The following is a 22,391-nucleotide window of genomic DNA, read 5'->3' on the forward strand; positions in this document are numbered from 1 at the left end:
TTTTCGAGACCATCTTTTATGGCTTGTCTAGTGGGTTGGGAGAAGCCCTTTTCTTGGTGGTGTTTGATGTTAATTGGCAGATATTTTGTGTAGGATGTTGACAGAGTCAGTCACTTTATCATATTTTAAACACATGCTCTTCCAATCCTTTCACTTTGGATGCATTGAACATTTTAATCATACCTGGTAGTGTACACCCCAAGCTGAAAACTCCAGGAAGTACGGCATCAACATAAAGGAAATCTCTTAAAATCAAACTCATAGCACTTGATTTTTTATTTCATGCCAATACACAATGGAAATTGTCATTTGAAAACCGTTTGTTTATGGCTATTAGGCCTAGTATTAGATCTCTTGAAACTTAGAACCCTGGAAGGCATTACATACCTCCTGGTTAGAACCTTCTGGTCCTGAGGGAATATTGACATATCACCCACCTGGTGCACCACTGACACCTATCAGAATTCATAGCTAGGATCTCCTAACAAGTTGGACAATAAATGTGTGGAACACAAAAACAGGGGTATATTTAAATTGAATCTTAATTATATAAAGCCATTTTGGGATGAGCTGGAAGCATACCCTCTGTGTAAAGAATGGATAAACATCCTATTTTATACTGATAGGATTCTATGATGAACTAAATAGGCCTTGCTAAGCAACAGCTTCTCCTGTCCAATATACTTACAAGAAAAAAGAAGACCGAAGATCACTTATTATCAACTGCAAATGCTAACTTAGGCAGAAGTCCTCCGATGTTCATTGACTCATATTCATCATCTCTGTATGGACTGAATAATTTAATTACTTAATGGTAGATTCCGTTTACTAGTTCAACTTGGTGGGTTCATCAGGAAGGTATATTACTTAATACTAAACAGACCATAGGTACAGTATTTAAATGAATGAATGGCAATCCTGATGTGAAATTCTTCCATGTTAAGGTCATTGCATATAGTAGTAGATTTTTTTTTTCATGGTCATGGAGATGAGGCAGTCATCAACCATATTTATCAGCACATAAGATATATAACATATAGGTAACTTCCCAGCTTTATGAGGGAAATTTTGGGGAAAAAAATTTGTAAGAACTCTTCACCACACGATTTATAGGTTTAAAGTTCTCTAATGTTTTAAAAGCATTTAAAGTCTCCCTAAAGTTCTCTAACATGTAAAAAACAACTAAAGTCTCTTTAAATGTTTTTTACATACAGAAAACCATTTTGTTCATATAAGAACTGCATATTGGTGTTAGGCCAGGAGTGGTGGCTCACATCTCTAATCCCAGCACTTTGGGAGGCTGAGATGGGCAGATCACCTGAGGTCGGGAGTTCGAGACTAGCCTGGCCAACATAGTGAAACCCCGTCTCTACTAAAAATACAAAAATTAGCCTGGCATGGTGGCGGGTGCCTGTAATCCCAGCTACTCGGGAGGCTGAGGCAGAAGAATCGCTTGAACCTGGGAGGCGGAGGTTGCAGTGAGCTGAGATTGCGCCACTGCACTCCAGCCTGGGTGACAGAGTGAGACTCTGTTTCAAAAAACAAACCAACCAACCCTGTATATTGGAGGTAAAATGAATGAGAACTTCCTTCTATTTTACATCTTTTTGAGTTGACCACAGTATAGGCACACTAGAGGCACAATAGCTTTTGTACATGTTTAGGCATGAGATGTGGGTGCCGTGATTTTACTAAGAGGTTGTGAACCCTCCAGTTTCTCAAAGCATGTGAATCTGTCCAAATAAGTAATACCAAATATCTGTGTTTAGGGAAGCTGAACAGAATTACAACATTCAATTGTGGCATGTCATCTTTAATCAAAAGCCTGGTTAAGAAAAACAGGCACAGAGGATTTCTTGAAGGATATGTAGTCTACTCATTCCTTTAAACTTTTAGCTTTGATGATTGTTATCTTTCTAGATCAAAAGAGAGAGTCACTCCTTGGACCATGCTCCTTCAGCTCCTTGCTGACCTGCATTTCTCACCATACAGTTTAACTCTAGGCCCCTATTGAAAGATCCATAAAAGGAAATTGTCCGCAACTTGCTGTATATGTATTGTATGAAGGTTTTGAGAATTTAAAAATTTCTGAATACACAACTTCTACTTCCTAGAAGAATTTTTAAGAATTTATGCCAGAAAAAGTGTTTCTCCTAATTTAACTTTTGAAAATAAAAATCGCGTATTTTTAAGGTGTACAAATGGATGTTTTAATACAGTGAACTGCAGTCAAGCTAATTAACCTATATATTTCTTCAGTCACCATTATGTATATGGTGAGAACATTAAAATATATTCTCTTAGTAAATTTCAAGTACACATTATTAACTATACTACCCATGCTGTACATTTGATCTTTAGAACTTATTCATCCTGTATTACTGAAACTTCATACCCTTTGATAAACACGTCCCCATTTCTCCTGCCCTCCTGCCCCTCATAACTACCACTTTCTTAGATTCCACATATGAGATCATGCAGAATTTTTCTTCTGTATCTGCTTATTTCACTTAGCATAATGTCCTCCAAGTTCATCCATGCCATTGCAAGTGATGTTATTTTCTTCTTTTTAAAGGCTGAAGAGTATTCCATTGTATGTGTGTGTATAAAACAATTTCTAGGCTGAGGTGGGAGGATCGCTTGAGCCCAGGAGTTGAAGACCAGCCTGGGCAATATAGTGAAACCTTGTCTCTACAAAAAAAAAAAAAAAAAAAAAATTAAAATTAGCTGGGCCTGGTGGCACATACCTGTAGTCCCAACTACTCGGGAGGCTGAGGTGGGAGTATTGCCTGAGCCTGAGAGGTCAAGGCTGCAGTGAGCTGTGATCATGCCATTGCACTCTAGCCTGGGCAACAGAGCGAGACTCTGTCTCTTAACAAAACAACACAACAATTTCTTTATCCATTCATACATGCATGGACACTTCAGTTGTTTCCATTATCTTGGCTATTGTGCATAATGCTGCAATGAACATGAGAGTGCAGATATCTCTTCAAGATATTGATTTTTTTTTCTTTGGCTATACACCCAGAAGTGGGAGTGCTGGATTATATGTTCGTTCTATTTTTAATGTTTGAGGAACCTCCATACTGTATTCCATATGGCTGTACCAATTTACATTCCCCCAACAGGCATGTAAGTGCTCCCTTTTCTCCATATCATTGCCAGCACTTATCTTCAGGTGTGAGATGATACCTCATTGTGGTTTTGATTTGCATTTCCCTGATGATTAAATGATGTTGAGTACATTTTCATATGCTTATTGGCCAACTATATGTCTTCTTTGGGAAAATATCTATTCAAGTCCTTTGCCTATTTTTAATGTTTTGTTGTTGTTTGCTCTTGAGTTATATGAGTTCTTTATGCACTTTGGATATTAACCCCTTATCAGATATATAGTTTAAAAATATTTCCTAAGTCCATAGATTGCTTTTGCTCTTTGTCTACTATTTCCTTTGCTGTGCAGAAGCTTTTTAGTGTCATATAATCCCATTTTATTTTTGCTTTTGCTCTTTGTCTACTATTTCCTTTGCTGTGCAGAAGCTTTTTAGTGTCATATAATCCCACTTTATTTTTGCTTTTGTTGCCTGTGCTTTTGGTGTCATATCCAAAAAAGTCATTGATAAGACCAATGCCAAGGAGATTTCTTCCTGTTTTCTTCCAGGAGTTTTAGAGTTTCATGTCTTATAATGTCTTTAATCCATTTTGAGTTGATTTTAAGTTGTAAGATAAAGGTCCAATTTCATTGTTTTGCAAGTGGATATACAGTTTTCCCAACAAAATTTGCTGAAGAGACTGTCCTTTTCCCATTGTATATTTTTGGCACTCATGTCAAAAATTGCCATACATGTATGGGTTTATTTCTGGACTCTAGTCTGTTCTACTGGTCTGTTTTTATACCAGTACCATGCTATTTTGATTACTATAACTTTATAATGTAATTTAAAATCAGGAAGTGTGGTGCTTTCAGTTTTGTTCTTTTTCGTCAAGATTGCTTTGGCTATTCAGGGTCTTTTGTGGTTCCATACAAATGTTAGGATTGTTTTTCATATTTCTGTGGGTAATACAATTTAAAAATTTTGATAAGGATTATACTGAATTTGTAGATTGCTCTGCATGTTGGGAATTAAGGTAGTATGGTGGGTAGGAAGCTCTAGTCCACATCTGTGTATTCTAGCAATTATATAGGCCCTCGTGGTGATTTTTATGTACTAACTTTATCCTTGCATTCACCTTGTAAGGCAGTTCTTATTGTCCCTTCATCCTAATTTCTTTATGCATTTTTACATCTCTATCCTATTGTATGAATGTATGCAAACTACCTCAAATGCCATTAGGATGGATATGAAAATATGGGTGGAAATTTAATACAGACATTAAATGATATTTATAACCATGTCTAAATACAGATATTAAATGATATAACAATTATGACAAGGCAGTTATAAATAACTTTTTTTCTTAGTAATATATATTTGCTTTTTAAAGTATATTAAAGAGCCACCATATCTAGGGTTAGCTAGGAAAAAGCAATGGCACCATCCTGGGAGTCCACCCCTCTGAAAGATTTTTGATTAGTCTCCATGTTGCAAAGTCCTCCAGTTATTCATGTACATTTTATCCTCTTAGTAGAAGATAAGGGTCTTGTCTTTTCACCCACAAGTTGTACAGAAGAGTGTAAAGAACATGCTCTGAATGTCAGGAAGTGAGGATCCTGGGAGTTTAGCTCTGCAAGTAGTCCTGTAAAGGGCCTTGGACAAGTCATTCAACCACTCTGAGCCTCAGGGACTAACAGCATTAAAATGAATGAAGTGGTTGGAAGGAATCATTCTCTCTTGTCCCCTATAGCCCTATAGGGGTTTTAATTCGAAGACCATCTGTCTATATGGAGTAGAAATGTTTGCCTTTCATTCTCTCCTCATGCTAATTCAAGTTACTTGTCAAACCCAGTTCTCTGTACTGGATGCATGATGCCTCCTCACTCTGCCTCTAGGGCACTTTCACTAGTTAACTCTTACTAGGCATTTTATGAAAGTGCTAAATGCCATTGCAGTAATGCAGATGATATCTAAAGGAGGAAAGAAACAATGCAAAACAATCTCATTGTGCAATACACTTTTATTTTCCTTTTACCTTTGCAGTCATCTTCGAGTAATCGTTGTGTAAACAATAGAATGGAATGAAATTACATTAAATTGTATGCAAATGGCTCTAGAACACCTTAACAATTATGACAAGGCAATTATAAATAACTTTTTTTCCTTAGTAATATATATTTGCTTTTTGAAGTACATTAAAGAGCTGCCATATCTAGGGTTAGCTAGGAAAGAGCAATGGTACCATCCTGGGAGCCCACCTCCTTGAAAGATTAGACTCCAATTTTCAAAATCCTAAGGTTTACTAGTTCCATAATATACAGTCAAGCAGAGGGCTACTTGGGTTGAAAGTATTGATTCTTGAACCTTAACAGCGTTTTACCTTTTAGTCATTGCACAAAACCCTTCCAATTTTCACTCCACCTGGGTATTCTGCAAAATTTCAAGTAAAACTCAGATTCTGATATTTTCAAGTTTATCACCTTTAGAATAACAAATCCTATCACTTAAGGAGAGCCAAATCAGAGATGGGTATATAGTTAGCAATCTAACAGAATGGCAACATTTTACATAGCATTCTAAACGGTCCAATGAAGCAAAACTTAACATATGCCACCTTATATAGAGGAAATTTTAGATCTGAGACTATTCCAGAGTAAAGCAGCCTCAGGCACATTCTTAATGTGAAAGTTTGCAAGGCACCTCCCTCTCCCAAGAGACAGTCAGATTGTAAATTGGTTTTTAGGCAAACAGACTAAAAGAATAAGCATCCAAATTCCTAATTCAGTCATTTCAAAATTTAGAAGTTACAAATACTCCAAAGACAGACCCAAAACTTTTTGTTTAAATAACGAGATTAACTGCAAGAAGCATATAATCAAAACCCTTTTTTTCTTATAGCTAAGGTGTGTAATGCATAAATATATGAAAAATAAAATTCACAGTCAGTTTTAAAACTAGAATTCAAGTTTGGCTAATAAATCTTAATTTTATAAGTATATTAATTTCTAAATACAACATAAAAGAGGCAGTATTGTCAGATGTACAATTAAAGTATTATAACAGAAATAACAACAATGAAAGGAGAAATAGGCTTCTGGATAGAAAATTCCTTTTGTTGCCAATAAATAAGACCACCTGAGTGTATTTCAGATTCTTTTCACTTAAGGGATATCCAAATTGATTGCTAAGAATATTAAATAGCTTTTGGAAAAATGAGCAACAGTCGTGCAGCTGTGGCATTTGCTTGTTCTTGTACTGTGGATTGCTAGAGAATAAAGCAGAACTCGGAGTGTTGTAAGTTTTAAAAAATTATTTTTTTATCCCATTTTGTTGAAGCCGGCCTCTTCACAATCTTCTGATTTTGCTAGGAAATGGGAGTGAGGGGGTGGGAGGAAATGGGCAGAAAGAGGGAGGGTTGAAGGGAGTAGGGGTGGCGGTGGGGCATGACAGATCAGGGTGACATCAAGGGACATACATCAGCTGACACTCAACTGAGCAAACCCAATCAGCTTCACTTCATCAGGAATCTCCGACCCATCACAGCCAGAAGCCTGAAAAGGGAAAAAGAAAGCCTCAATGCTGGTTTGCTGCTGCTGCTGGTTGTTAAAGTCTTGTTCCTATGATGGCAGATCTAAGCAAAGGCACAGTTGGTATGGGACCATGTGTCCCATTTCTTCCAGAAGAGAGACGCCAGCCACTCTCTCGAATGACTACTGGAAGCTAAGTGCTGTCAGCACTGTGGCCATCATGCTATGAAGTACAGAACAGAGGTGGGAAGGGATTTGTTATCCATTAAAATACCATGCCCAGGCTGGAAGCTTTGGAACAGTCAGTGAAACACCCCTGCTAAGAAACCACAAACAAATTTTTCAAAAACTAAATAAAATTATTTTAAATATACTTTCTAACTAAATCACCTTAGTAATCATTCTGAGAACAACATGAAAATAAGCAGAAGAGATCTAACAGGTCACCCAGGAGTAATTTAGTTTTTACCAAACTCATTTCTTCTATGAAACTTGCCAGGAAAAAGTCATCACCAAGTACTGCGATGGGCTCATTAGAGAGAACTGCTATATAAATACCAGTGAATAAGTTTTACAGGGAAAGGTATTATAACAATTCTTTTCTATAAAAGAATTTTGTTTATATTTTCAGACATATTAATTGCCTAAAATTGGCAAAAATTATGGTGTGTCAAATACTTTATTTTTCTTACTTCAGAATCAGACAGAACTGGAAAAAAGCCATTGCCTTGGCCAGGCATGGCGGCTCACGCCTGTAATCCCAGCACTTTGGGGGGCCGAGGCAGGTGGATCATGAGGTCAGGAGATCGAGACCATCCTGGCCAACATGGTGAAACCCCGTCTCTACTAAAATACAAAAAATTAGCCAGGTTTGGTGGCACACACCTGTAGTGCCAGCTACTTGGGAGGCTGAGGGCTGAGGCAGGGGAATCACTTGAACCGGGGAGGCAGAGGTTGCAGTGAGCCGAGATCGTGCCACTGCACTCCAGCCTGGCGACAGAGCGAGACTCCACCTCAGAAAAAAAAAAAAAAGGAAGCCATTTCCCTTCAAACCTCTCACTGGTCCTAATTAATAAGTTATTTCGTTTTTCTTGTGACCTCTCCCCCTTGCTTGCTTTTAGACACACACACACACACACACACACACACACTCTCTCTCTCTCTCTCTCTCTCTCTCTCTCTCCCCCCCCGCCCCCTCAGATCCACCATTCTAAGCTGCCTCTCATCCTATAGTACATAAATCAGAATTGGACATTACATAAGAACAACAAGGAAGGGAGAAAAAAGTATGATGAATGACTGGGAATGGGCAATTAATTACCAAAGGATCATACAAACCTTTTCAGAGCCTAATTCCTGCTAAATTATTGTCACAACAATTAGTTTCCCATGGAAACGTGCCCTTTCCAATCACCACAATTAAGCTGCATAGCACTGCTTGTATACATTTAGAATATGTACTATACTGTTTTTTGAACTGTACTGTTCATAGTGTACTGTTTTTTGAACTGTTCAAAAAAACAGTACAGAAAACCAGCATCAACTCTAGCATTTTCTATTAAATAATCAGCTAACTATAATGTTTGTACCTTGAATATTTTCAAATGATTATCTTTAAAATAACATCCTATGTAAGTAGTTATGCTTATGTAAAAAAGTCACTAGCCTAAAGGATAAAAATATTAATCAGTATTTAAAGAAAGGAATTTACTTTGTACCTATCCAGTGATATCTCTGGTTTCATCTGACAGATAAAGATGTTCAGAGAAGTAAAATTGTCATTGTTTGTGTTGACAGGGGCGATGAGGTCTGAAATGCTCTTCTCCTTATCACTTTCAACAAAGTAGTACAGGCATAGAGGGCATTTTGGCTGAGGTATTTCTGGTGGTGTCACACTGACACTGTAATATTCACCTTCCCTATCCATTTTCTCCTTGTGTTATCACTGTTTCTTTATCTACCTTCCTAAATCATCCCTTCTCTCTCATGTGTAGCTCTTGTTAACATCATTTACTCAACCCACTGAATAATGGCAGACAACCTGTGTAATTAACAGGCAACTGACAAACATCCAAAGACAAACTATGGCTGCTGGTGGTGACAAAAAGGTCACATTGCCAAATGTGAAGTACACCAATGTACTTCAAATCTTCATCAGAAATTTGGCAATGTGAATATCAGGAGGTTAAAATGACTAGAATAAAACTACAATATCCAATAGTGGTTGAACTGACTAGAAATGAGAATATTAAATCCTTTCTTGTGAAGAGTAATGGAAATGAGAACTTACTAGAGTAGGTGATAAACCAGTGGTTACGGTGAGAACATCACAGAAGGAGTCTTCACAAAGTTCCTACCCACCCTGGGTCCTCAGTGCCTCCCATAGCTACACTGAAATGTCTGTCTCCTGGCCAGGACCTTTGGCTGTGTTTGCTTCAAGGCGCTCAGCCCTCCTTCCTCTGCTACCTGGGCTCTCACTGCTGAGTCCAGGGCTCTCTCAGCTTGCAAAGCACAAATGAGGGTGATATGCAAATGACTCTGAAATTCAGAGAAAGGAACCAATGACCCTTCAAAACAGCAATGTTCAAACTTTGGGGTCTTAGGATCTCTTGATACTCTTCAAGAATTACTGAGGACTCCAAAAAGTGTCTGCTTATGTGGGTTATATTCGTTAGACTGACTGTCTTAGAAATTAAAGCTGAGAGATTTAAAAAGTATTTTAAATATATTATTTGAAATTATGTCAAGATATTGAAGTAATAATATAAACAGTACATTTAAAAACATAAAATAGGTTTACATAAATTAATTATACTATCTTAAATTAAAACTAAAACATTTTAAAAATATTCCTTTACTAATTCATTAAACTTAACAATAATAAACTCATTACATACAAACATAAATAAAATCTTCATGGAAAATAACCATAGTTCCCCTACCCACTGCAAGAAAACTCAAAGAGTGGCCTGACTTCTACATTTCCTCTTTAATGTCTTGCTTAATAAAAGACAGCTGGATTCTCATACCTACTTCTGTATTCAATCTACTGTTTTATGCTGTTTTCCTTGAAGCACATGAAAAAAAAATCCAGCCTCATACAAATATATATGAAAGAGGGAAGAGTATTTTGATAGCTTTTCCAAATAGTTGTGGATATCATTTATTACTGCACTAGAACTTTCCAAGTGGCAATTTCTTTAATGTTAGTTGCAATGTACACTCTGAAACCACAGTATTGAAGTTTTCATACCCTGTTACCTTAAAATCTATTGGTCTACCTTGCACTTTGAGTGGATCTTTTACCCATGCATGACTTTAAGCATCACTGACTTATGCAGATCTTCTAAATGTTGACATGTTTCATTATACAATATGAACAATTCATTATACAATGTCAACAAATCATACCCATTAACATCACCCATCACCAATCTCATCAGAAAAGTCTTTAAGTACTGGGTTACTGTCAAGCTTACAGTAGCGATACAAGTTTTCCAAAATCCTATTTTTGCTTGAAAGCTTGAATTTATTATCAACAACAAATATTGTCAGATTTATTTATTTATTTATTTATTTATTTATATTTTTTGAGACAGTCTCACTCTGTCACCCAGGCTGGAGTGCAGTGGTGTGATCTCGGCTCACTGCAACCTCCGCCTCCCGGGTTCAAGCGATTCTCTTGCCTCAGCCTCTCGAGGAGCTGGGACTACAGGTGCCCGCCACCATGTCCAGGTAATTTTTTTTTTTTTGTATTTTTAGTAGAGATGAAGTTTCACCATGTTAGCCAGGATGGTCTCGATCTCCTGACCTCGTGATCCACATGCCTCGGCCTCCCAAAGTGCTGGGATTACTGGCGTGAGCCACCGCGCCCGGCCATCAGCTTTTTGTTTTTTTTTTTTTTAAGTGTCAGTCTTACTTCATTCTGAAAAAAATGTCTGCCAAATATCCGAGTCTGAAAAACCAGTTTGTCAGCTATTCTTTCAAGTAAAAATGATGTTTCATGAAGAAAGAAAAAACATGTAGGTAAGCTCAAACCAAACAATCTCACAAGTGCTCTTCCTGAAGACTGTCAATGTACACCCGTATAATGAAGGAGGGATTCCCACTTCATAGCACTGAACACTCAAAAGATGTGTCCTGTAGCTGAAATTCAATAAAGTCAATAATGTTTCCTGCCTTGTTAGGAAAATTCTCAAGTGAAATTGGCTTTGCTTTTTTACAGTGAGTGACAGTGCCTGGCTCTGAGGAACACAGTGACTATTAGTGCAGTCTGATGTTGCTGCATGTGTGCCGACATTACCAGTTTTACCCACCACGGCTTTACACCAACGTCAACACAGTGGAAAAGGCAAGTCACAAAGAGTTTTGACATCCAGGATCCCCTAGAAGGGTCTCAGGGAAACTCAGAAGTTTGAGGCCCACGCTTTGTGAGCCTCAATTTCAAAGTGAAGGAGAAGTTCAGAACACGCTACCCCAAAATATGCCACTCTTCTATTTCATGGTTTTGCGTTAAAGACACTTTAAAAAACAACAGCAGCAGATGCAGGAAGGGCCCTCTGACTTTCCTAAAAGCAGGAGTTAAAACTCCCAAGTGGAAGGTTTCCTCCCTGCACCTGGAAGAAGAAAGCTATTCTGATCACCAGAGATGGGGAGCTGAAGCCCCTGACAGACATCTACACAAACAAACCTTGTTAAACTCATCCTCGTGTTCCTAGTCACTTCTCCACGATGAACCCTCGTCCCAGCCCCCCACTGCCTTGCCCCCTTTCATCATTTATTGCTTCATCCAACTCAATATATGTGCTAAATTCTAACAGCTTCTTTGGGTCTTCATTTCTTTATGAGGCCTCTCATGTCATGTAAAACTTAGATTAAATAAATATGTATGCTTTTCTCCTGTTAATCTGTTTATGTCGGTTTACTTCCAGGCCCAGCCAAAAAACCCTAAGAAGGCAGAGATAACAGTTTGCCTCCCCTGCCAAAGGAAAATGTATACATTATCAGGGACCTAATGTGACAGCGTATGACATCATGCACGCTCTTACTCAGGGTGTATTCTGATTCCTGAACACTCCATCTCCTCACCCCTCCCGCCATGACAGCAGGTGTGGCCTGCACCCCATGGAGGAGCTGAAGTTATGGTTACCTGGCGTCACTGAAAAGGAATGCCTCCACCCCAAATGCGGGTGCATTTTGGAATCACTAGGAGAGTGTGAGGTGCCCCCACCCCCCCACCATAGAGTCTGAGAACCACTCGTCTATCCCAGTGCTTCCCAGTGTGAAACTACAAGTTTCCTTTAAAGCATTGGTTCTCAAACTTCAGCCTGCATCAGAATCACCTGGAGGGCTTGTTAAAACGGATGCCTGTGTCCCAGCCCCCAAGAGATTCTCATTCCTTAGTCCTGAGATGGGGTCTCAGAATTTACATTGTAATCCAGTTCCCAAGGGAAGCTGACACTGTCAGTCTGGGGGCCACATGTGGACAGCCACTCTTTTAGGCTGGGAGTAGGAGGCACAGAGACATGGACCTTCTGGAACTGGAAGTTTCCTTGAAGATCTTTGTCTCACTTTTCTACCCCTTCAGTAGGAGGAGAAAGTTAAAACGCTTAGGTAGTTTTTACCCAGTTTCAGGCTTGACTTTACCTGCACTTGGCAAAATGTTGCCTTAGTCATACAGCCTCCAATTATGCAGAAGCTAAGAACCTCTAAAAATAAGTCCGTTTAGTCACTGTGAAAATGCTTATGAAATTTCTATCTGCAATACATATAATGCTATTAAACTTCAGTAACTAAAGTCTATAATGCTCATGTTAATGTGTACCAATTAGATGTTAATTACATGTTCTCAAAATTTGTATTCTATCTTCAAAGGCAAATTAAGTGTATCTTATTTCATGTTTTTTCTAATGCAATTTCAAAAATTCCACATTGAAAGCAGGAAGATTCACCTACTTACAAAACTGCCAAGTAGTCCATTCAAAAATGGCTTAAAAATAAAGACCTGTCTCAAGGTTTACAACAATAAAACACTACTAAAAAAAAATACATCAAACTCAAAGCACATAATAGTTGAGCTGAAATGCCCTCTATGCCTGAACCACTTTGTTAAAAGTGAAGAGAAGAATCTGATCTCCCAGCCCCTGGCCATACCAACAATGGAAATCCTACTTATTATCTTCCCTGTGGAATGCTTCTCAGGGTTTGCTGAACACTGGAACCACCATGAAGTCCTTTTAACATTCCCAAAGCCCAGGCTGCACCAAGAGCAGTTAAATAAGAATATCTGTCGTAAGACCAGACATTAGGTCCTAAAACAGGACCCATTTCACATCTTGGGAACCCCAGGCTCTCTGGGGTTAATTTGCCCAGGATCACACAGTGGAGGCTGCAGACTCACCCCTGGTCTAGACTCAAAGCCCATGCTCTCAACAACCATTCATTCCTGGAGGCGCACCCCTGCGGCCCTAGGCATTAATTTTTTAAAGTGTCCCAGTGCTCCCCTGAGTGAAACCACTGTGCAGGGAGGTAAAGAACCACAGTATCATGACACTGCTGTTCTTTAGACAATTTTCAGGCCCCTGACGTTTTCCTTTAAAAAGTAATGAAAGGCACTGAGATGAAAATAATGATAAAAAGCTGAGAGATAAAGGGACCATGCGCAGCAGCAGCTTACGAGGAAAAACGCTGCTGAAATACTTTGATCTTTTATTCCTGAATAAAATAACCAAGTTGATGAATGAAGGTAAATACATTTGAATCTCTGCAGTTTATTGGGATGTTAGTGTCCTATGCAAGATCAGGCCAAAAACCAGTTCAAATTAGCTCTGCCAAGTGGATCTCAAACCGGCTGGCAGCTGATACCAACAAAGAAACCCTCCTGGGGCCTAACAAGGGCTGGACAGAAAGTTAAGTGACAGAAATAAGGTCCCTCCTGAGTTTGGTTTTCGTTAACCATCTTTATCTTTGGGGAGAATAAGCCATCAATTTCCATTTACTGTGAACACCACACTACTACGTTTTCAAGCTGTAATGGGAAGGAAAACACGGACTTGTTTCCAAAACTCCCCTGTGCCTGACAGGCCACTATTACTCAATCTGCTGAAGGTACAAAGGAGATTCAGTCTCAGCCAATGGAGATTCAGTCCCAGCCAATGTAAATGTACCCAGTCATCCAAAATGAGGAATCTACAAAATGACAGAAAACTGTACAGCCCTAAGGCTGCAGGGGTCTGCCTCCAAGATGAATGGCTGTTGAGAGCGTGGGCACTGAGGCTAGACCAGGGGGGAGTCTGCAGCTTCCAGACTCAGGATCTGTGTGATCGCTGTGTGATCCTGGGCAAATCCACCCCAGCGAGCCCGAGGTTCCCGAGATGTGAAATGGGCCTACTACCAGAGATAATGGTAAAGCAGGAGAGCTGGAGGAGTGGGGGCAGACCAGGCTTCATTAGCCTGTCCCGGGTGTGCGGTTTACAATAGGGCAGTGGAAACACTGTGTCTACCACATTTTGGGATTGTAGGAGGATTACTCTGGCTACAGGCACAGGGTGGTAAACAGAGCCAAAAGCTGACAAACTGGTGGCAGGAAGATTAGTTTGTGAAGATGAGAGAATCCTGCTTGGGTGCAGGAAATGGAGATGCAGGGAAGAGGACAGAATCCAGAGAGAATTTAAGAAACATATAAGCTGATTAGGAGATGAGGGAGAGTTTTACATTATTCTTATGGTTTACCTAGAGATTGTACAGCGGCTGTTTTCACAAAATCTTCGGTAGTAGGAAAGGGCCAGGGTTACTGTTCCTCTTTCATAATAAAATGAGAAAAGTCCAGCATGAGAGTTTCAAACTCTTATCTCTGTTTGCATATTACAAATTAGGAAAATGTTCTTGAGGTGGTATTAAAAAAATGAATAAAGGGACATATATTGGCTTGAAATGCTGACACAGGCTGCCATTTTCTCATCAATATACTCTCACATTAAAAAAAAAAAAAACACACACATTAAGAGGTGACAGTGTCATCCCAAACCAGAAAAGGGATTTTCCTATTTGTTAACCTAGCACTCTACATCTGAATAAAATGTTACTTTCTTATCAAAGCAAAAAGAATTCCTTCAGATATATCTTTTCTGTGAAAATCTTTGTGTTTTTCTTTTATCACACAGCCTAGCTATCTAAAATTAGATGGGAAGCAAGACCCAGGAAGTTAATTAGCACCAGGCTCACATTTACTGTAACTAATCATTTAGCATTTTTGGTCACCCACATTTTCCATTTAATTTCACAAATATAAAAAAGATCATCAATCTATGTTGTGCACAGCAAAGTGTTGGTCATCTAGATCTAAAATTGCTTCTGGGATTCTGACCAGCCTTTGATAAAATTAACTTACGATTTTTAAAATGTACCTTAATGTACTGTTCGCTAAAATTTTTTGGAAAACGGTCACTTTTGACTATCTGGACTTCTCTCCATTTCTGACCACCACCATCTTGGTCTCACAGTGACCCCAGAATGTCCGGCACTCTGTATCTCTGTGGCCACCTAGTACTTAAGTTTACAATCTACTAGTGCAGAATAACTGTTGAAATATCTCCTTTCTACAAAAATCTGTTACTGTTGATTTGAAATGTGGAAGTAAATTGTTGTGTCTTTGTCCGCCAGCCTTTGGTGAGTTGTTCTACAATTGCTTCCAATTACCTAAACCATTTCTACAACAATCAGCCTCTATTTTTAAAAGTTAGAACCACTTGGCTTTTGTCTTAGGAAAGCTTTATTAAGAGTGTTGCTTTGAATTCAGTGTAATTTTGTCTTTATGGTCAAGTTGCAATACAAACTGCAAGCAAAATGATCTAGGCTTCAAGATTCTTATATGGCCGCTCTTAGTCAAAGGTGTGACGATAAGAAAAAGCTATGCTCATAGAAGAGGACACTTCCAGTCACAATCAGAAAACGTTCCCTAACGCTGCAGAGTCAAATGCTTCCAAATGCAAAAATTGATTCTAAAAGAAAACAACAACAGCAAAATTACAGAGTAGGTTATTAAACTAGATTATTATTCCCTGCTGGCACAGCATGGCAAAATATTACCTCCTTCTTTCCATAACTTTCCACTTACCAACTTAAATGTCAATGTTTTTAAAGCTTTGGGATCATCTACAATCTTCTGTAAATTAGCAGCCACTGTAAAATATAAACGTAGAGAGAAAGTTTCCAGATTATTTCCAATAACAGTGGATTTTCACATCAATGACTCAGAAAATTTGACTAATGATGCAATAAACTGCAAAATCATTTTTCATAAACATTGCAAAGTCCATATAAATGACCAAATTACTCTCATACAGATATTTCTACAACAATTGATATCATTTCAGCAATCTTGTATCTATGCACATCTGAATTAATCACTGTATGTCAACTCTGCATTTCATATAATAAAATCTGAAATTTCTAACGGAAAGTAGAAATGATAGCAGCCCCCAGTGTTTCCGCCACTTGGCTTCTCTAAATATTCATTACTAAGAAATTTATTAGCCAGGAGAGGGCAGTACAAAACAAAGAGGAGAGGTAGTGGGGAGAAAAAAAAAACAAAAAAAAACAAAGGCTTTCTCTGGAAATAGAAGGTCAGCACATTTGAACCCCTGTCCTATAAATTCACTCAATTCTCTGAACCCATTTTTATCAAGGCAACAAAATACAGTGGATAACCTCTACAACTCAAGCGCATGTTTTAAGGCTTTCAGAGCACAGTGATCTGTCAAACCAGGGAAGTGCCACCTTGAATAATACCCAAGTTTGCTGAACAGGGTCAAGCACTAGAGTAGACGCTGTCAGTTTGGAGCTCAGTGCTGCAGATATGTTTTCAGTATTAGCTGGATTCATTGGAGATCTGTCCTTGTTCTTCACGGTGTAATGATCTATCTGATACTCCAGTAGAGAAGTCAGTTTTTTCTGCTTACTCCTCTGGCTCAGGGTACTGCTAATGAACAGAATTATCAAAAGCTAATGATGATGGAAACTTAAAACTTACTTTTTCCATGTCCACACCTGAAGTATAAAGTCCTGAAAGTCAAATAAGGGCTATTGCTTAGGGAAGGAGAAGTTACTGCTGAAGAAATTATGGGAGAATGTCGTGTTTGTCATTTTTATTTTTTTATGAGTAAAATTATCTGCTGCTTCAGTAGTTAGGTATTGAAGTTACCTGAATTTTTTAAGATAAAAAAATTTTAAGATAAAATAGTACACATACAAGTATTTTGAGAAAAGTGTTTCAAGTAGAAAAATTTAAGTAGAAAGTAGTAAGAAATCTGCGCAAGTTTTAATTTTCTCTAAGGTCGACTGACAACAACCTAGATACATGGATTTTCTGCAGATTAGTTTATTTCATTTAATCCATCAGCTGCAGAGGAGAAAAAAGAAAAATTATGTACTCAATATGGCCTATTTCTCTTTATAAACCATAATTGCAAGCATCATTTTATCTTCATTTGTTGCCCTTTTAATACTTCCATTCTGAGTGATCTGCAGTTTCATTTTTACCAACACTCCTCCCATCTGCCTCCTCTTTTTCTCCTCTTTCTTTTGCCCACATAAGCAAGCACACACATATCGGGTACACCCCAGGGCACCAATTCCAGAATAGTTATCATCGCAAAGCTTCCTGTGGCCTTTCAACAGTTTTCTGAACATATTTTAGACACTAAAATCATCAAGTCATTTATGCAAGAAACATTGGCTCATGGAGTGCAAAGCTCTGCTGTAAAATCCTGTCCACCAAAGCCAGTATTTATCATGTCAGGGCACTCTGACTACATGCAAATTACAGCAAATGAACACAGTACCCATTTTCTTAAAACATAAAAGTGTTCTAATAGTTCCTCTGATTTGGGCTGATTTCATGAGTGGCCATAAATTCTTCGTATAAATTTCAGTCCTTTCATTAGTTTCTCAGTTAATGTGGATGATTTACTGCCTTGTTCTGGGTCATCTATTTCCAGTCTGCTCTCTAATGTTCAGTCAAAAGCAGAGCTCTAGCCTACACTAATTCACAACCCTCTCTCCGGTGTACACGTATATATACAAGGGCCAATTTCCAGGGAATGTGTCAAGCAACTTGGAGACCTAAGGGCAAGATGGAGCTGCCTGCATCTTAAACAATCATCCCAGAAACCACACTCCCCAGTTGTGAATCTCACACCTCTGGGACATTAAAAATTCAAATTCTGTCTTCAGCTCAAAGTAAAAATAAGCAAAACTGGCCACTTACCTGATTACTTATCCCAGCTGCTAGGCTTATTTTCAATTTGGTTGATTCTAATTTGTTGTAAAGTGCTATAAAACACCTTCATTTAACTGACATCACATAAAATTCAGGGTGATGCTAATTTCTTTTCCAGTAGCAATGCTCATTAAAAAGATGGGTGTCACTGTTTCCTCCCATCTCCTGACTGTGCACCTGGATTTCAAAAATAAAAACGCTCCTTACCTGGAACGTGAGCTGAGAAGGAAGGGCTGGGTAGGGCTGGCTGTTGCTTTAGAGCTGCCTGAGCCTGTGCTGAGAACACTGACCTTTGTGTTGTAAGACACTCGAGTTTCTGGAAAATGTGGGACTTCTGAACCCTGCTTGCTCAGTAGCCACTGACTCATTTCAAATCCCTCTTGGTTTTCCCAAATAAAACTCATGCCCCTTGGTTTCTGCAGCAGACATTGTGCTATCTTCTTTGAACTAGTCCCTCCCTTCCCAGCCCACAATCTCTGCCATTTGGGCAAACAGGGACACCAATAATATGCACTGAGGCCCCCAGGGACTGTGGCCCTCAAGCCCTGTCACTAGGGCTTTACCAACACTCCTCCCACCCGCCTGTCCCTACAGGGTATCTTTATGTGAACAGTTAATTTTTTTTCTATTTTTTTGTTTCTCTGTATCATACTTTAGGCTTGAATACCTGTCAGGGCTGGAAGTTTCTATTTACTTTTTTTTTGTTTTGGAGAACATTTGGCCTAAGGTATGATAAGTATTGTTCTTTATGAAACTGTAACAATATCAGTAACAGCCACACGGAAAAGACGCTGATGCTCAGTACTTCCCTGAATCTAAACAGAAAGGGAAATAAGATCATCCTAGGGGTAATCCACTGGAGGCAAGGCAGCGGAGCCGACACTTTTTTGGCAAACTAAGTCAGGCATTCTCCAGACACTGTTTTCTGTATACATTCCTTGCACTATTCAAATTCTCCACATTTTTTAAAATATAATTTCAACTTTTATTTCAGATTCAGGGGTTCATATGCGGGCTTTTTACCTAGGTGTATTGTGTGATGCTGAGGTTTGGGGTATGACTGATCCTGTTACCCAAGTACTCAGCATAGTACTCAATACTTTTTCAACCTTGCCCCCCTCTCTTCTTCCCCCCTCAAGTAGGCCCTGGTGTCTGTTCCCTTCTTTGTATCCATGTGTACTCAATGTTTAGCTCTCACAAGTGAGAACATGCGGTATTTGGTTTTCTGTCCCTGTGTTAATTCACTTAGGATAACGGCCTCCAGCTGCATCCATGTCACTGCAAATGTCAAGATTTCGTTCTGTTTCATGGCTGTGTGGTTTTCCGTGCTGTATATGTACCACATTTTCTTTACCCAATCCACTGTTGACAGGCACCTGGGTTGATTCGATATCTTTGCTATTGTGAATAGTGCTGTGATGCACATACTATGCGTGTGTCTTTTTGGTAGAGCAATTTATTTTCTTTTGGATACACACCAAGTCATGGGATTGCTGGGTTAAATACTAGTTCTGTTTTAAGTTATTTGAGAAATTATTCACATTTTGACAGTTAGAAAAATAAGTTATATTACTATTTACAGTCTACGTCTATATTCTGAGTAATCAGTCAAAAGATACACTTTTTCCTGAGATACCAGCTTATTTCACAACAACCCCATGTTCTGGTAACAGTGAGTTAATTCACTTAATTCTAGCTGTTTCCAAACACAAGCTATGGGGAAAAGAGAACCAGTGAACACGGAGTCTAATGTACTACTTCCAATAGTAAGAAATTTCTAACATTAGACAAAAGCATGGTCTTGGGTTACCTGACAAGGTGATGACTTCAAAATATTGTTTTATCCAAAGAGACACCCTGAATAGATTGATGCAGAAAGGCAGCATGAGATTGCAAAGAAAGAGACAATCCAAGCTCTAAGTAAGGAGAAAAGGAGATGGTACGAGGGTAGGTTTCTTATGGATACTGCTAGAACACTAATATAAATTAAAATTTTATTTTAATTAGATTTCTTTGAAATCCAGCCACGCATACAGAAAACTTACTAACTCAGTTTGGGACAAAATAAAAGATTCACCCCATTATTTTCCCTAAATCTCCAGGCTCTTATCTTCATGGGATGCACTGTAGCACAGTGTATAAGAACCTGAATTCGTGAGCCAGGGTGCCGGGGTTCAAATCCTCCTCCTGCTCACAGCTGTGTGACCTTCCTGAACGAAGTTCACTTAGCCTCCTCTTTCTGCACAAGGCCATGCATTGGTCATTGGTGAAATGAAGATATTAATGGTGCCTCACTGATAGGGTTTGTTTTGAGGATTAATTCACACACATAAAGTGCTTAGAATAATGCTTGATGTATAGCAAGTGGTTAATAAATTATTCCTCTCTGCCCTGGACAATTGCAATATCTTATCTGGTTTACCTTGCCTTTGGTCTTACCTCCTCCGAGCCCTCTTTCTAATACTCACCAGAGTTACTGGATAACCTAGATTGAGAATTGGAGTGTGTTACCTCCTTGAGCAATGCTGTTTAACTGTTCCCATCAACTTCGGGATAAAGTCCAAATTTTTAACATGGTCAGTGAGACCCTCCATGGTCTGGCCTCGGCCAACCGCTCCAGCTTATCTTTTGCCATTTCCTACCCTGAATCCTCCCAGGAAAGGTTCCATAACTCCATTCTCCTCCAGCTCTCTACCCCTACACTCTTATCATCGTGTACTGAAATAATCTGTCACATACCTGATTTCCCCACTAGATTCAAACTCTGAAAACCCAGAAAAAATCTTATTCATCTCTGTAAAACATTCATCTTTGAAATATATCCACATACGCAGAAACGAATGACTTCTCACCACCTCCGCTGCTGCTCCCCAAGTGAGGCTACCACCAACTTGCCACTAGACTCGTCCAGTAGCCTGTGGTCTCACTGCTTCCACCCTGATCCCTCAATGGCCTAGACTTCACCCAGAGGGCAGGGGAGGCTTCTAACATGTAGGCAGACCATGTTACTTATCTATTCAAAACCCTCTGTTGGCCTTCCATCTCAGAGTAAAGCCATGGTCTCTACAATGGTCTACCAAACCCATCTGATCAGGCCTCCTGCTCCTTCTCTCCTCTTATCCCTCACCACTCTCTCCCTTGCTGCTCCTGCTCCAGCCACACAGCCTCCATGCTGACCCTGGAGCATTCAGGGCAGGGGCTTGCCCAGAACCTCTGTACCTGCCATTCCCTCTCCCGGAAATGTTCTTCCTCCATGACTCCATGACTGCCTCCCTCCCTTTCTTTCAGTTTCTGCTCAAATGTCCCTGGCTACCCTATTAACACCCCCACCATCCCGTCACTCTCTCGTTACCCAGAATTCTTCTTTCTCATAGCACTTATCACCACCTGATATGCTATATATATTTATACATTATTTCTGGATGCGGCCCTTTACCAACTCCACATACCCAGAAAATGAGCTCCAATGAATACAGGAACTGTTTTGTTCACTACTATGCTCCCAGTGCCTGACATAGACGGATATCAATCTGTGTTGAATACATGAATATATGGAAAAATGAATCTTTGTGATATCAGTGCCCAGCACAATGTCTAGTACACCGTATTTGGTAAATATCCTCAAGGCCCTCTCCCCAGGCACAAGCTCACAAAAGTTTGCATACAATTTAGAGGATTCTAAGACACTAAGAACCCCAAATTGAGACTCTCTGAAAGAAGAACTATTCCTGTTTTGGAAAGTTTCTACAAACGTTTGTCTCCTAAGCAATAATCCTATTCGTTTGCCCTGTTAAAGCAAAGTAAATACGGCCTGAGAAAGACTCCGTACTTCTATATTTGAGTCCTTGTGGATGAACTGCAACCTAACTTAATAAGCAGACAAGATTGAAAACCTAACTTAGGAGTGTGCGCCTGTAACAAGCTCAATCTCAGCAGCCATACTTCAACCAGTCATACACTGCTGAGTGTTCAAACTGTGTTCAAATAAGGCAAATGCTGAGCTGTAGCCAATCCAGTTGTTTCTGTACCTCACTTCTGATTTCTATATGTTACTTTATTTTTTTTGTCCATAAATTTGTCTGACCATAAGGCACCCCTGGAGTCTCTCTAAATCTGCTGTGATTCTAGGAGCTGCCCAATTTGTGAATCATTCATTGCTCAATTAAAGTCCTTTAAATTTAATTTGGCTGAAGTTTTTCTTTTGACAGATGGTGTCAGAAGTGGGATCTGAAGAAGAGCTTCTAATGACCCCCAGGAGCACTGAGTGAACATGCAAGGTAACTGCAGGACCCACTTGTATCCACTAATCTCTCGGAGCGGCTGGAGATAGTGGGTAAGTTCTCTCTCAGATTTTGGAGGTCCAGTGGATTTGTGTTTTGAGTTCTCTGAGTTTCTTTGAGCAAATTTCTGATCCAAACTGGGTTTGGAAGTCATGACACAAACTGGACTGGGTCTAGGAATGGATTTAATCTGGTAACTAACTGGCCT

At 39.3% G+C, this 22,391-nt stretch overlaps 1 protein-coding gene across 6 annotated transcripts in view; it reads right to left on the reverse strand.

The window, feature by feature from the left end:
* The window catches only part of STK39 (serine/threonine kinase 39), a 293,574-nt gene continuing 276,283 nt past the window's right edge, over window positions 5,101-22,391 (reverse strand). For 4 of the 6 annotated variants that reach the window (NM_001410961.1, NM_013233.3, XM_047443944.1 and 1 more), the window contains 2 exons: window positions 15,741-15,805; window positions 5,101-6,649 (listed from right to left, as the gene is read on the reverse strand). In NM_001410961.1, coding sequence (NP_001397890.1) covers window positions 6,575-6,649; window positions 15,741-15,805 — 140 coding nt within the window. In that variant the 3' untranslated portion in view covers window positions 5,101-6,574. The other 2 variants (XM_047443941.1, XM_017003813.3) reach the window with 1 other exon arrangement.

This window comes from Homo sapiens, chromosome 2 (assembly GCF_000001405.40).
Source record: "Homo sapiens chromosome 2, GRCh38.p14 Primary Assembly".
Taxonomy (NCBI): Eukaryota; Metazoa; Chordata; class Mammalia; order Primates; family Hominidae; genus Homo; species Homo sapiens.